The sequence below is a fragment of the Homo sapiens genome, chromosome 10 (assembly GCF_000001405.40).
Source record: "Homo sapiens chromosome 10, GRCh38.p14 Primary Assembly".
In the NCBI taxonomy this organism is placed as follows: Eukaryota; Metazoa; Chordata; class Mammalia; order Primates; family Hominidae; genus Homo; species Homo sapiens.
Genome location: NC_000010.11, coordinates 43,937,103 through 43,953,405, shown reverse-complemented (window position 1 = coordinate 43,953,405; position 16,303 = coordinate 43,937,103). Strand labels below are relative to the sequence as shown.

At 41.3% G+C, this 16,303-nt stretch overlaps 1 long non-coding RNA gene across 2 annotated transcripts in view; it reads right to left on the bottom strand.

The window, feature by feature from the left end:
• The window catches only part of LINC00841 (long intergenic non-protein coding RNA 841), a 71,970-nt gene that overhangs the window by 27,860 nt on the left and 27,807 nt on the right, over nucleotides 1-16,303 (bottom strand). Inside the window, exons 3-5 of one of the 2 annotated variants that reach the window (NR_033846.2) lie at nucleotides 10,125-10,211; nucleotides 9,373-9,549; nucleotides 7,256-7,412 (exon numbers count right to left, since the gene is read on the bottom strand). This is a non-coding gene — a long non-coding RNA (long intergenic non-protein coding RNA 841). Of the gene's footprint in view, nucleotides 1-7,255; nucleotides 7,413-9,372; nucleotides 9,550-10,124; nucleotides 10,215-16,303 lie in introns of both variants that reach the window. The other variant, NR_136147.1, reaches the window with a different exon arrangement.

Here is a 16,303-nt window from a genome sequence, read left to right as displayed (position 1 = left end):
CTGCTAAGAAGAGCCCTCCTTGGGTCAGTGCAAGACATGAAGATGGGAACACCTTGCCCTGCAAAAAGACATGGCTTTAATTGAATTAAACTATGAAGCATTATACACCAAGGTATTTTTTAAAACAATATAGAGAAAATAGCAATTACTGGAGGCTAATATCTGTGTGAGACATGAATAGAGGCAGACCAGCCAGAAGCTTAAAACAGGCAGATCACGGAAAGAGAGTCAAAGTGCACCCAACTAAACCACAGATCTCACAGATCTATGCTGGCCAGGGAGACTGTTTGCCTTCTCAAGGCTGCACCCTCAGAGCAGAGACATCAGAGGCTCCACACTGCAGGGAAATAGACATCACTGAACTAGTCGAAAGGCAAAAGCAAAGAGAAAACCTTGAACACAGAACAAGAAAAGTGACTCATCACATGCAAGGGAACCCCAAGAAGGCTAACAGCTGACCTCTCCTCAGAAACAATGGAGGCCAGAGGTAGTGGGATTCAAAAATACAGAAAGAAAAAGAATTGTCAGTCAAGAACCTTACAACCAGGAAAACACTTTCACAAATGAAGGCTAAGTAAAGAAAATCCTAAATTAATAAAAAATGAGATTATTCAATGTTAGAAGGTCTTCCTTGAGAGAAATCCTAAAGGAATCTCTCAGGCTAACAGCAGATAACTTCAGGAAGTATTTCAAATCCACACAATAAAACAAACACTGCCAGTAAAGGTAATTATGTAGATAATTATAAAAGGCAGTATAACTGCAGATTTTTCTCCTTTCTTCTCTAAGTATATTTTTTAAAAAACAATTACATAAAAAAGGTATATAATTGTGTCATTGGGTCTATAACACATAGAAATATAGTGTATTTGAAAATACCAAAACGAAAGAGATCAATGGAGAAAAGGTTGTATGGGAAAGGAGATGACACCAGCTAGTAACTCAGATCCACAGGAAGAAATGAAAAGAACCAGAAATGACAATTAAGAAACTCTGTAAATATATACTTGCTTTGTTTTCTTTTCTCAGCTTCTTTAAAACAAAAAAAAATATGTAAAATAATAAATATAACAATGAATCCTTATGTTTCTATTAATAACTTATATAGATGTTATAATATATACAACAATAATAAATGACAGGAGGAAGGGAAAAAGCCATATAGAAGTAAAGTTTCTATATCTTACTGAAATTAAATTAATTTAAATCTAAATTAGATTGGATAAGTTAAGATGCATATTGTAAGCACCAGAACGACCACTAAGAAAATAATTCAAAAGTAGCTTAAAAACTTATTAAAGGAATTAAAATATTAAGTAGAAAATATTCATTTTGGAGGAACAGAGGAAGAGGAAAAGAAACGAGACATAAAAAACAAAAAGTAAAATGGCAGGCATAAATTCAACTATATCAATAATAACATTAAATGGAAATACTTTAAACAATCCAATCAAAAGGCAGATATTTTAAGACCAGATGCCAAACAAAATCCACAGGATCCACAAAATCCTGCAGGAGACACTTTAGATTCAAAGACACAAACAAGTTGAAAGTGAAGGAATGTAGAAAGTCATGTCATACAAATAGCAACAATAAGAGAGCTGGAATGACTATACAAATATCAGACAATACAGACCTTAAGGCAAAAAAAAAAACAATTACTAGAGATAAGAGAGAAATTCTATCATGATAAATAAGATCAATCCATTAGGATACTGTAACAATTATAAGCACAGGCACCTAACAACAGAGCCACAACATAGATGAATCAAAAACTGACAGAACTGAAGGAAGACAGTGACAATTTGATAACATCAGCTGGAGACTTTCATACCTCATTTTCAGTAAAGATAGGAGAACTAGACAGATCAAAAAGCATATAGAAGACTAGAAATCACTACAAACCAACTAGACTTGAGAGACATCTATAGAACAATCCACCCAACAATAACAGAATACACATTCTTCTCGAGGGCACATGGAACATTCTTCAGGATTTGCTACACCCTAAGCAAGGATCAATAAATGTAAAGAAATTTAAATCTACACAACGTATTTTTCTAATCACAATGATATAGGAAATCAATAAAAGTAAAGAAATTTAAGAAATTCACAAATATGTGGAAATTACATATTATTAAATAACCAATAGCTTAAAGGAGAAATCACATGGGAAATTTAAAAATACCTGAAATAAATGAAAATGAAAATAAAAACACAACATAGAAAAACTTCTGGGTTGCAGCTGAAGCAGTACTTGGAAGAAAGGGGGATTTATAGCTCTAAATGCTTATAAATTGAAAAGAAGAAAGATCTCAAACCATTATTAACCAAGCATCCCTGGTGGTCTAGTGGTTAGGATTCACTGTTCTCGAATCATTAAACTAACATTCCATCTTAGAAACTAGAAAAGAAGATAAACTAAACCCAAAAGAAAACAGAAGGAAGGAAATAAAAGCATTAGAAAAGAAATAAATAAAATAGAGAATAGAAGAATAAACAAGAAAAATCACTAAACCCAAAAGTTGATAAACTTTTTGTTAGACTGACCAATAAATAAGAGAAGATTCAAATTATCAAAATCAAAAATAATAGAGGGCATCACTACTATTGGAGAAATAAAAGAGATTATAGAAGAATTCTATGTACAATTGTATGGCAACAAATTAAATAACCTAGATAAAATGGACAAATACCTAGAAACACACTAACTACTAGGACTGACTCAAGAAGAAATAAAAAATATGAATAGTCACAATGGCAAAAACATGGAATCAACTCAGGCACCCATCAATGGTGGATTGGATTTTTGAAATGTGGTACATGTACACCATGGAATACTACACAGCCATAAAAAGAATGAAATCGTGTCTTGTGCAGCAACATGAATCCAGCTGAAGGTCATAATCCTAAGTGAACTAATGCAGAAACAGAAAACCAAATACTGCATGTTCTCACTTAGCAGTAGTAGCTAAACTTCTTCCCATATAGATGGGAAGAATAAACACTTGGGACTACTGGAGAGGAGAGAAAAGGGAAGAGGGAAGGGCGGAAAAACTACCTATTGGGTACTATGCTCACTGCCTGGGTGACGGGTTCAATCACACTTCGAACCTCAGTGTCACACAATGTACCTTTGTAACAAACCTGCACATGTACCCCTGATTCTAAAATAAAAACTGAAAAATAAAAATAAAATCTGAATAGACCTATAAAAGTAAAGATACTGAATTAGTAATTCAAAACTATTCACAAAGAAAAGCTAAAGCTCAGATAGCCTCAAAGGTGAATTCTATCAAACATTTAATGAAGAATCAACACCAATCCTTCACAAACTCTTCCCAAACAAATAGAAAAGAAGGAAACACTCCAATATATTTTACAAGTCCAGTATTACCTTGACACCAAAACCATACAAAAACATCACACACAACAAGAAGACTATAGACAAAGCACTTGCAAATATACATATAAAAATCCTCTACAAAATAATAGCAAACCAAATCCAGAAAATATATAAAAAGAATCATACACCATGACTAATTAGTATTTATTCAAGGAATCTAAGATTTGTTTAGCATCTGAAAATCAATTCAAATAGTAATTCATATTAATAAAAACAAAAGCATGTGATTATCTTAATAAATAGAGAAAAAGCACTTGAAAAACTCAAAATTTTTTTGTAATAAAAAGACTCAATAAATTAGAAAAACAGGGAATTTTCTCAACCTGATAAAAATCATCTATGAAAAACTCACAACCAACTTCACAATTAATGATGAGAAACTGAATGCTTTTATCATAAGTTCAGGAAACAAGACAGAGATGTGCATTCCGACCACTTCTATTCAGCATTGTACTGGATTCCTGCCAAGACGATGAGGCAAAGAAAGAAAGGAAAAGGAAGGAAGGAAGGAAGGAAGGAAGGTCACATTGAAATAAAAGAAGCGAAGCTTTCTCTACTTACAGATGACATATCTTGTATATGGAAAATTCTAAAGAATACACTCAAAACGATTAGATCTAATAGACAAGTTGATCAAATTTGCAGAATACAATATATGCAAACATTGAGCCACACAAAAATGAAATTTTTAAAAATTATTCCATCTAGAATAACATTAACATAAATAAAATACTCAGGAATAAAGCAAACAAAAGAAGTGCACATTTTGAACTTGAAATCTACAAAACATTACTGAAAGAAACAGAAGACAAAAATAAATTGAGAAATGCCTCAGATTAATATTGCTTAATTGTATTAATTAGTATTGTCATATTATCAATATTAAGCCAATATTAACCAATATATAAGTCAATATTAACCAATATTAGTTAATATTGGTTTAGAATACTGAACCTGTCACCCACAGATTCAAGGCTATCTCTATCAAAATACCTGCTGGCTTTTTTCTAGAAATGATAAGCTAATCCTGAAATCTGCATGGAAATGGCAGTGACCTGGAAAAGCTAAAATAATCTTGAAAAAGAAAAATAAACATGGAAGACTCATACTTGTTGATTTCGAGGCTTACTACAACACTACAGTAATCAAGTCAATGTAGTACTCCTATAAGGACAGATCAATGGAATAGATCTGGAGTCCAAAAATAAGCCCCTACATTTATGGTCAATTAATTTTCAACAAGGGAAGCAAGACAATTTAATGAGGGAAAGATTAGTCTTTTCAACAGATGGTGACAACTATCACATAAATGCTGACAACAAGTATCAGACAACTGGATATTCAATGCAAAAGAATGAAACTGAGACCCTACTTTACACCATACCAAAAAAAAAAAAAAACCCAAAATGATCATAAATGTAAATGTAAGAGCTAAAAATTACAAAACTCTTAGAAGAAAACTTAGGAGCAAATCTTCATAATCATGGGTTAAGCAATGGTATCTTAATTATGACACCAAAAGCACAAGTGAAAAAGTAAAATAGATAAATTGGACTTCATCAATATTAAAAAACCTTTGCTCTTCAATGGACATGACTAAAAATGTGAAAAGATGACTGCAGAATGAGAGAAAATATTTGCAAATCATATATTTGGATAAGAGACTTATACCTAGAATATATAATATGCTCTTGCAAATCAATAATAAAAAGACTAATCGAAAATGGACAAAGGTTCTAAATAGAATCTTCTACAATGAAGATGTGCAAGTGGCCACATGAAAAAGTACTCAACATAATTAATCAATAGGGAAATACAAATCAAAACCACAATGAGATGCCACTTTGCACCAGCTGGAATAGTTATAATCAAAAAGACAACATTGGTAAGGAAATGGAGAAACTGAAATTCTCACATATTGCTGAATAAAGAAATTACTCAATGTATTCTAATGTAAAATGATTGCTGAATAAAGAATTTACTCAATGTATTCTAATGTAAAATAGTGCAGCAAAATTTTGATAGTTCCTCAAATAGTTAAATATAGTTACCATGTGATCCAGCAATACTAATTCTAGGTATATATCCAAAAGAAATGAAAACATGCAATACAAAGTCTTGTACATGAATGTTCATAGCAGCACTATTCATAATAGTCAAAGCTAGAAAACAGTCCCAATGTCCATCAACTGTTGAGTGGATAAATAAAATGTGGTGTATCCACAGAATGGAATATTATTTGGCAATAAAAAAGAATAAAGTAGTGATACATGCTATAAAATAAGTGAACCTTGAAAACATTATGCCTAGTAAAAGACCAAGACCACATAACCTATTTTTCATTCACATAAATTATCCCAGGAGAGATAAATCTATGAAGACAGAGTTAATAATGTCCAGCACTTACGGGTTAAGAAAGATTAGGAGTGACTGATAATGGCTATAGGGTTTCTTTTTGGGATCTCGAAAATGTGCTAAAATTAGATTGTGATGATGGTTGCATAATTGTGAATATACCAAATCATTTAATCTACACTTTAAATGGGTGAACTGTATGGCATATGGTTTATATATCAATAAAGCTGTTAAAGATGTGGAGATGTGTATTAGCTTTTATATGTTACTCATAATTTTATTTCACTTTTTATTTCTCTAAACCTATGAGATATTATTTTATATTCTTATATGGTAATTCCAATGTCACAAGTATGTTTGTATCTTAACTTTAGTTTCTAATTTTTGATGACTCCATTTGTTTTATCATGTCTTTGATTTTGAGATTATATTCATTGAAACTTTTATCTATGGAATTTCCTTGAGGTCTTCGTTGTGAGGTAATTTCCCAAAGAAAATTTATCTTAGTTTCTGCAAGGTATCTTGGGCCCTTATTGTCCAGGTCTACTTTAAATTTTTAATCGTTTTCCCCCTGGCCACATAAGTAGTTTGAATCCGTGTTCCAAGCCTTTATTAGTTTTCTTTCATATGATTTTTTTTTATTGTTGGAGACAAGAACATTTTCTTGCTATCCCTCATTTCTTCCTTTTTGTTTTACTAGTTCAGAATTTTACTTGAAATTGTTCCCTTTCAAGTTATCAATTTTATGCAGGGGTTTCCAAACTATTTTTTTAAAATTTAATATATGTATTAAAATTTTTATATAATTTCAACTTTTATTTTAGAGGCAGGGAGTACGTGTGCAGGTATGTTAAATGGGCATACTGGGTGATGCTGGGATTTTGGATACAAATGATGTGGTTAAACGGGAAGATGAAGGAAGAGGCAGACCTCAGCATTTAGAAACCTGGCCTTAGAGAACCCCGCTCCTCGAGGGCGTGGGACTGAACAGGCGGATGTGGAATACTAGACAGCGCAGAACTCAGCAGCGGATTCAGATCTCAGTTCTGAGGCTTGCTGGTGCTTCATCTCAAGTAACTGGCTGAACTTCTCTGAGCCTGTCTAGAGAAATTCGCATCTGTTTATAGAGTTGTTGGAAGTGTTGAAGTAGGTCCCATGCATAAAGCGTTTAGCACAATATCTGATAGGTTTGATAACTGATAACTACCTAACGATATTGCCGTTATTATCACCATTAGTTACAGGGACCAGATTGGAATGCATAAAACCTTGGAGCACCCAGTGCTACACAAAGGCTCCAATCACCCAGTTCCTTGGGGTGTGGTCACCTGTACTTTTACTTCCTACGGAGAGATTTTGCCCTAGATTTACTGGGCAGGGCTGGATGTCATTTATTACCCTCTCAAGTGTCTACAGACTCTTTTTCAAAAGCACATCTAACTCTACTCCTCAAAGTGTTATTAAAAAATTATGAGAAAACACATTGGGATTTACTTCTGGTCTTGTCCGCAGGGGATCTTGGTGGCACAAGGCCAGCTGTGCATTCTGATGAAAGGAGCGATTGGGCTGCTGGTAGTGGTCAGTGTAAGCACAACTGTTCCAAATGGCTGTCTGATCCTTTAATTGTAGGGTAAAGTAATTTGCTGTCTTCCTATTAGGGACATAAGAATAGAGAGATCACACAGTGGGAACCAGTATCAGACCGCCAAGTATAGCCAAGCCTGCCATGCAGTCCCCGTCAATCCTTATTCTCACCCAGTCAAGGAGCACCTCCTAGAACTGACAGCTATAAATAATTCTATCAATATTTTTCTCTCAAACAGGAAGTTTCCAGCAGCAAACCCCTTCAGGGCCAGAACTGTATCTTAAATAATTCCACAGTCACCTAGAACAACCTTCCCGTGGGTGGTACAAAGCCTGCATCTTTGCAGTGATGGTGGTGAAGCCATTACTGACCAAAGGTAAGTCGCCATTTGTGATTTGGTTGAAATGGCCACACATTTAATCCTGTCTGCTCCTAACTGGTGGGACAGCATGAGCCCCGTCTCCTCTGGGGAGTCAGAACGTCACTGGACATAGGCGGCGACCTACTGAGAAAGCAAGGGCTGCAGTTCCTTCTCCCGGTACATGAGGGGGTGGGGAGGGCCAGGTTAGTTGGAGTTGACTTCCCTGGGGTCCAGACTGACCCAGCACCTCAGCAAGGGGGAGGGCAGAACCAAGCTAAAATGGTTTTCAAGATGGATGTGTCACTGCTGACTGTGAGAATAATTTCTTCCCAGCTGTATTTGTCTAGGGATTTGTGGCTGGGAGATGGACAGGATCCCTGAGTGGGAAGACTGTCGTTAGTCTCCCCAGAGTGGAAGCAGACACACTTAGAGGAGGTGATGAATGACGGGCACTTTCTGGCTCACAGATGGCCTCCTGTTAGGTCACTTAGTGTGTTTTTCCCTAATGGCTTTCTCAGTGTGGGTCAGGGACAGACACTGGGAGCACACACACACAAACACACACACACACACACACACACACACTGAACATGATGCTTTGGGTCGTCTAACTTACTTTGACTTTCCGATTTGTCTCCTGGACTAGGTTAAACTATCTGTCACCTTCACGACTGGTGGGTGGGGGCTAAGGCCTCAGAGTGCTGGTATCCTTCACCCATGTCACATCCCTGTGCACACAGCCTGGCCTCCACCCTCAGATTCACAATCACAGGGCATGAAGTTCACCTAATTCAACCTGTCCACTTTCCAGCTGACAAAAGTTTGGTCAAGAGAAGGGAAGTGTCTCACCCTGTTGTTTCAACGCTGCTGGGGGTTGAGGGTCTCCTGCCCTCAGAAACATGTGCTATCTCCAGTGCCCACCATGCCCCACAGGATCTGCTCCCTGGCACCCCAGGAGTGTCTGTGGCAGCTTGATTAGCCATAAATACTCTCCTAATAAACCTACCCTGTTATGGGCTGTTTCTGTTAGGAGGAATTATTACTGCCACAACATAAATTTCCTAGAAAAGATATGGTCGGGTCACACAATGTAGCCTATTATGAGAACCAGAGTAATAAAAGAGCCAGATAATTTATGTGTCTCTCTGGGTTTCCTACGCTTATCTCTAAGGAAGGAGCCAAGATGTTGAGACAAATAGAGAAGCAAATGTGTGTGGCTGGAAACCCTGTGTAATTTGTCCAGTATTTCTTTTGCAAAGGCATTTTGAACATTGAAGCTTGTCATGGCTAATGATGAGCACCATTCCTGTGGAGGAGGCCACCATTCTCCGTCTTTACTGAAGACAAAGGAAGTGGGAATGAGCTGCTAGAGAAGTCACATGTGCTTTCTAATGAGACAGGATCTCGTCTGTTAAGGGTTGGGGTCCAGGGGCATTTTAGTGTGGACAGGAGCCTGGGACCCTCCCTCTGTGTTCCATTGATGTACATGCACTCTGCAGCTTAGAGGGTGGGGCATGGAGTGTGGCCTGGGGGGCCGGCTGCTCCCTCCCCCAGTGAGCATTTCCCTGGCAGATGAGGGCACTCCTGTCTCTGCCCCATGCCAGACCCTAGGCTGACCCTAGACAAGGGGATTTAGGGAGCACAAAGGCAGCCACAGGGACCAACCTGGGTCCCTCCCACCACCACCTGCCAGCCAGGGCCATTTACTGAGACTGAGCGTCACCCAAGGCCTGGACGTCTTCCTGGACTGTGAGTTGCTTTTGGGCCCAGGACTCTTCGAATGCGTCTCATGACAGAGAGGCAGGCAGACAAGCACAGGATGGAACAAGCGGCCGATGCTCCCTGTCAGACAGGAGTGGGGACAAGCTGTCACCCTTGCCGGGAACCTCGGGGCCCAAATCATGCTGACTGGTGAAAAAAGAGAATCAGCGTCCTTTCCTAAAGAAAGTGCCTCCAAAGGCACCATAATTCAAGCAGAACCTTCTTGATTAACTGGGACTTAATTTACTCAAAGCACTTCCGCACAAGTAAAGCTTGTCATGCTCCACAGAGTCGGGAGCGGCAGCTCAGCTCAGGGGGGGCTCGCTCCCTCCCCGGGTCCTGCCACCTTCCCCACCCCCCACTCCCCCACACCTTCCCCCGAGCTTCCCCACCCGGCCACTCCCACACCCTCCACCCCTCTTCCCCGCTCGGCTACCACCTCACTTCCCCACCCACACTTCCCCACCCAGCCACCCCCACGTCCCCCACCCATGCTTTTCCATCTGGCTACCCCCACCTCCCCACTCAGCCACCCCCATGGCCACCCCACTCCACCAACCCATGCTTCCCCACCCAGCCACCCTCATGCCCCCCACCCACGCTTCCCCACAAGGCTACCCCCACACCCGCCTCCCAACCCAGACTCAGCAGCATACCTAGTCTGGCCGAGCATGGGCTGGTGAGGCTGTGTCAGCTCCTGCTATGACATGTCACTTGTGTTGATGGTTCTTTTACTTTAGTGTCTTCTGTTTGTTGTGGTGTATATTGATGGGAAAAATAGAAAGGTAATTTTCCTTCACTAAGAATGGAGCTAGGTCCGTGTTATCACCTGTCTCATGACAGAACAGTTACTTATCCCCATTCCCCTACCACGGTAGCACTGGGCCATGGGAGGACATGGGGTGATGCCACCCTCTGTTGGGTGGCACTTGGGCTGACTGATACTCTTGTTAGCACATGGTTGTCACAGAGCCTTTCCACAGAACACTGATTTTCAAACATGTAGAGCTTCCCGCATAACTGCCACTAACCGACCCTACTCAGAATCTACCCTCTGTGATGTGGGGCCACCTGGTATCTCGGGGTCCCCTTTAGGGCCATCAGTTTTTAGTTTCATTTTGAGTTTGTTCAGAAGTACCATAAATAGAAGACAGTAGGATCTTTCTGCCTGAAGGGATCCAAAAAGAAACATTTGGCAGGAAAGGGTCATGACCTTGCCTTGCTTTAATTATGAAAAATTTGTGCACACCAAAAGAGATTGCCCTGCTGCTGCTGATTTGAGTTCGTTACAAGAGTCTGTAGCAAACACTCTTCTATGAGAAGCTGATGAAATCAGCACTTGGAAGCAGCTTTGAAATTGGCTCCTGTCTTACAGGCGATAGCCTTATTCTTTCCATGAGCTGAAGATGCTTCTCCTTAAATCACACGCTCACCTGGGGTTGCTAAGGAGGGCATGGCCAGAACCCCTGGCTACTCGAGTCCCCACTGCCCCTCGTGTCTAGCCCAGGCCACTCCCTGCTAAAACGCACTGCTCTGGGGAAGTCTCAGCTTCCAGCCAGGAGACGCAGCATCCCTGAACTGCAGGGCCTCTCACAGGGCTCTCCCAGGCATGCTGAGTTCTCCCAGAAAGATGCAGAACAGAGCAGCTTTCAGAAATGCAGGGCCTCACGAAGCTCCATGGTGATGGTGCCTGCAGCCCCTGTTAGCTCACCCACTAATAGGTGAGCCAGGAGCCCTGCAGCCATACTCTGTTTCCCGCAGTTTCACTTTCTGGCATCCACACCTTCCCTCAGTCACTCCCCTGCTCAGAATCCTTCTACAGCTTGCGCTGCTGAAGAGGGAACTCGGCCATTAGGCTCTCTTCAAACTGGGCACCAAACACTCCCTTTGGTTTTAATTTCTGTCAGCCTCTCTCACTCCATCCCTCCATTTCTCCATCTCATAGGATGCTACCTCTTCTCTGCACACTCAGTGCCTAGTCCCACGTCTGTATTTTTACCCATTTTCACCTTTACCTGGAATGCCATTTCTCTATTTTTTCCCCACATGATGAGCTTCTCGTCATCCTTCCAGGCCCAGCCTGCCTTTCCTGGCTCCCTTCCCATGCCATCATTCTGTCTCATCAGTTTCAGAATCGACTGCTCTTTCATCTGTGTGTCCATGGCACTGTGCACATGCCTCTCTCAGGTTGCTTATTCCAATGCTTTGTGGACCATCTCCCCACTGAACCATGAGCCATTCAAGGGCAGGAGCCATATCTGCTCCATCTTTGCACCCCAACTCCTAGGAAAGTCCCTGGCACCTTCTAGGAGCTGAGTTAATTAATGGAGTGTGCGCTCCAGTTAGTACTGCCAGATTCCCACATGTTATCAGAGGAATACAAACATGCAAGATCTGGCTAAGTGCTCCAGTGGGGCAGGCAGCAGGGCTGGGGCTCCTAAAGTCAGTTGACTTTTGGTCTCTTCTGGAAACCAAACATTAGGAAGCTTCCTGGAATGGAGGGGTAGGCTGCAGGACAATCTTACCCAGACACCTGGAAGCCCAACAGTGTGGTTTGCCTCCCAGAGATGCCCAGAAAGGCAGGACCTCAGCATCCTGCTTCACTCTGGCTCATACACTTTTATACAAAATACAATGCAATGAATGAGCCCCAAGTCAGCTGTGACCACAATATTTTTGTCCATTGCAATGCAAAATACCAGCTGCAGTCTAAATGCAGTCCTGCTGCATTTAGCTGAATGATCAGCACTTTTACCTATACAACATCTTCAACCTGATGTGTGCATGGCTTTGTAAGCACAATATCTTCACACATCCTTTATTGTCTCCCCCTGAGGGATTCTGGAGGGAGGAGAGCCACTGTCCAGACATCCCACACTGCAGGAGAGGATGTGAGCCTCGGGTGAAGGGAGGTAGCACAACCTTGCTCACGTTCCCACAGCCAGGAGAGAACCACTCACCTCCTGGTGAAGAGTGATGCTTGGCCACATCTGAGAACAAGCTAGGGAAGGAAACCCTGAACAGACTGATAAAGTTAAATGTAAATCAACAAAAAATTTGCCAAAAACTTGGCAAAACTATAAATGCAAAATAAACAAATCCACAACCCAAAAGGAGCTGGGAGCATCAGGAGGCTGCTTCCAGATGTGTGGCACTCTGAAAAGCTGGGAGTGGGGACTATGCATTTCATGTGCAAGTAGAAGCTGGTGACTGATGCTGAAATTCACAGCGGCCCATTGGAAGACATGTTGAGAAATCACCGCAGATAGAAATAAAAAAAGAGAAAGTCAGACTATGCTAATGATGTCTTCTTATTGCTCACAGGCCAGAACTGAAGGTCGTGGCCAGTGTTTAGCCTTTCATTCTCTGATTCCAGCCCCCACAGCCATATTCACCCTTTTGCAAGTGATTTCAGTTTGAAACCTGGGCTCTGGTAGCTATTAACACACACACACACGTGCACAGCACACACACACATGCACACCACACACACACCATGCACTACCATGTGACCTTGCTTAAAAAGAGAACTATCTGTTATCATCCTTACTAAATCCATCTGTGTCCCCTGGCTAATCCCTGGAAGGCATCCAAATGACATTTATAGGCCTCCCAGCTGGTGAGCAAACGTGCTAAGCCATCCCTGACTGCCGGCTCTGGGCAAGCCCCTTGCAGTCTTCTCTCCCTCGCTCACACTCATGACAGTATGTAACCTCCATCTGCCACCCTTCGCAATCTCATCACCATCAATATGCTCCTTCTCCCAGTAAAAGTAAAACCCTGCCTCAGCCTCACACCTCTCCACAGTTACTCTCATCCTTTCTCCTCTCATTCACAGGCAAATGTGACCACAGATTGTCACCAGCTGTTTCCTCTCCTGCCCCCATTCCTTGGCCCACAGTAATCTCTGCCTCCACCTCCACTGAAACTTTACCAGCCACAAGTCAGCGCAGGCCTCAGCACAGGCCTCTGGGTCACTGACGCTAAGGGCCTCTTTGCAGTCTTTGTCTTCTGTGACACTATGGGCCATTGCATCTTCACTAGAACTTGCCCATCTCCTCTAATCTCACACTCTCTACTTTCTCTTTCTCTGGCCCCCTTGGCTGCTTTTGTTCAGCCCTTCCTTATGAAAAACCTGCGGAGTCAAAGTTATTCAGAATCCTCTCTCCATCCATGCTACCTGCCCTGTGGCCCCACCGCCACACAGCTGCCTTCACTGCATGTGCAATGAATGAGCCCCAAGTCAGCTGTGACAGCGATATTTTTGTCCATTGCAATGCAAAATACCAGCCTCAGTCTAAATGTAGTCCCCAATACCTTGTTAATCATGCTGAACCATCAGCGCTTTTACCTATGTAGCATCTTCAACCTGAGGTGTGCATAGCACAGCTGGAGACCTGCCTCTCTCTCACTCCAGCCCAGCCCCCATCCAGGCCCCAGGCCCCTGAGAAACTATCTGCCCGTTTATCATTGCACTGGGCATTTCTCAGTGTCATTCAGCTCAGCATTTTCAAAATGCTGACACCGTTCCTCTGCTTTGCTCTAGAGTTTTTCCTCAAGGGTCCTGTCTCCGAGAATGCCACCAACTGTCCTCTCAGGGACTTGGCCAATTTCCTGGGAGTCATGGGTTCCCTGCATCCCATCTGGTAGCAGTTGAATGCCTCTCAGCTCTAAACTCATCTCTCATTTCTTGCTCAGCAAAAAAATGAGCTGTAAGCATTTCTCATCTGCAACTGCCACCAGGTTCAACTGTCAATAGAGGACACTGGAGGGATGCAGCAGCAGAAAGGGGCTCTCTTGCTGGTACTGGCCTATTCCTCCTACTACTGAGTGGCGAGGCTTCAGAAATGACATGCGGAGGTGGAGATGGGGGTGCACAGCGGGGCTCTGCCCAGCCTCACTTATGGGGAGCGCCATCTTTGTGCAGTTCATAGTGTTGGGCAGCCCAGCAACGCCTGGCCACCTCCTTTGTGACGTGTAATGGGCAGTAGCCACACCCTCTCCGACCGGGTCAGAATCCCAGCCTTGGTGAGGGGCCCTCCAAGTTTCCATCCTCCTTGGGTATTTTTCCTCATCCCCAGAGTATTCTTTAAAGTTAGTTTTTGTCCTTTATAGTTACTCCCACATTACAGTTAAGAATTGTTTTGTTTTTGAGATGGAGTTTCACTTTTGTCACCCAGGCTGCAGTGCAACGGCACCATCTCGGCTCACTGCAACCTCCGCCTTCCAGGTTCGGGGATTCTCATGCTTCAGCCTCCTGAGTAGCTGGCATTACAAGTGCACGCCACCATACCGGCTAATTTTTTGTGTTTTTAGTAGAGTCGGGGTTTCACCATACTGACTAGGCAGGTGTCAAATTCCTGATCTCAGGTGATCCACCCGCCTTGGCCTCCCGAAGTGCTGGGATTACAGGCATGAGCCATCACGCCCAGCAAGAATTCTTTATGTTAAAATTTTTCAGTCCAAATTATTGCGTGGCTTCTGTCTCCTGATTAGACCTAACTGATGCACTCTCAAACACTGAATCCCATTTGCTCTACAATCCACATCTCTGTTGAGTCTCCTAGGTCTTCATTTTGTCTGCTTCTTCCCTTATGAATACCGCCATCATTTTTTGCTTGGGCTTCTGCAGTCCTCTCTGTAACTGGTGTCTCCTACCTAGTCCAACTCACTCCTTCCCAATCCACCATCCCCTCCCCCATCCATATATTTACTATCTACTTAAAAACTTTCGAGGTTTCCCACTGCTCTGAAATGAAGCCCCAAATCTTTGACACACTGTACAAGTTAATCAAAATCTGACCTTCCCCAGCCTGTTCCAACCTCAACACTCCTCCTCCTTCTCTCCTTCTAATATTGGTGATCTGTGCTTTCTCTCCTTGCTTCATTAAGCTTGTTGGTAGAATGTACCATTCTACAACCTATCTTTTCAAAACCTAGCTTTTGATTTAAATGTATATGTGGTGTGTGTGTAATTGTGTGTGTAATACACACAACTTCATTAACGTTTTCTTTTAATTATTTATTTTTTTCTTATTTTGGGATTATTCCATTTTTCTTGTGTTAACTTTTTTAAATAACAATATATACACTTAAAGCTACTGGTATTCCCCTAAGTATGGCTCTAGCTCTACTCCATGGCTTTTGATAGGCAATACTTATATTACTACAAAATTCTAAATCTTTGGTAATATTCATAATAACTTATTTGGACCCATAAAATTTTTAAAGGAGTCTTTTTAGTTTGCTATGTTTTGTTGTTGTTTTGATGTTTGTTTAGGGCTTTTTTGCCTTCTACCTATTGATATCTAATTTTATTCCATTGTGGTCAGAAAATATGGTCTATATGATAATGATGCATTGGTATTTGCAGAGAGTTCTATCATTATACATTTTCCAAGTGGTCGAAAATCGTGACTGTTTCCTGGTTTGATGCAGCACTCTCTCTGTATAGCTATTAGATTAAACTTATTCAGTTAATTTAGCTCAACAATTATGACAGAGGTCCATGAGGATCTCCCAGCGTATTACAGGTTTATCAATCCCTGTGCGAATTTGGCCAAATTTGATCAGATTCCATTTTACCTATTTGATGCTATGTTTTTTGGTTTGGAGAAATAATACACATTATTTTACTATTTTGCCTTCCTAATCAATATTTTCTTTTTCTTTTGAGTAATTATCCTTTTTATTCCTTGCTTTCAGGCTTAAAAATATATTGTGCCTAATATGAGTATTGCTTTATTTATTAATAATTTTGATGTAAATATACTTCTCTTTCATTCTAGGCTTTAGGTTTAGGTCATCTTGTAAATGTAATATAATTAGATTTTAA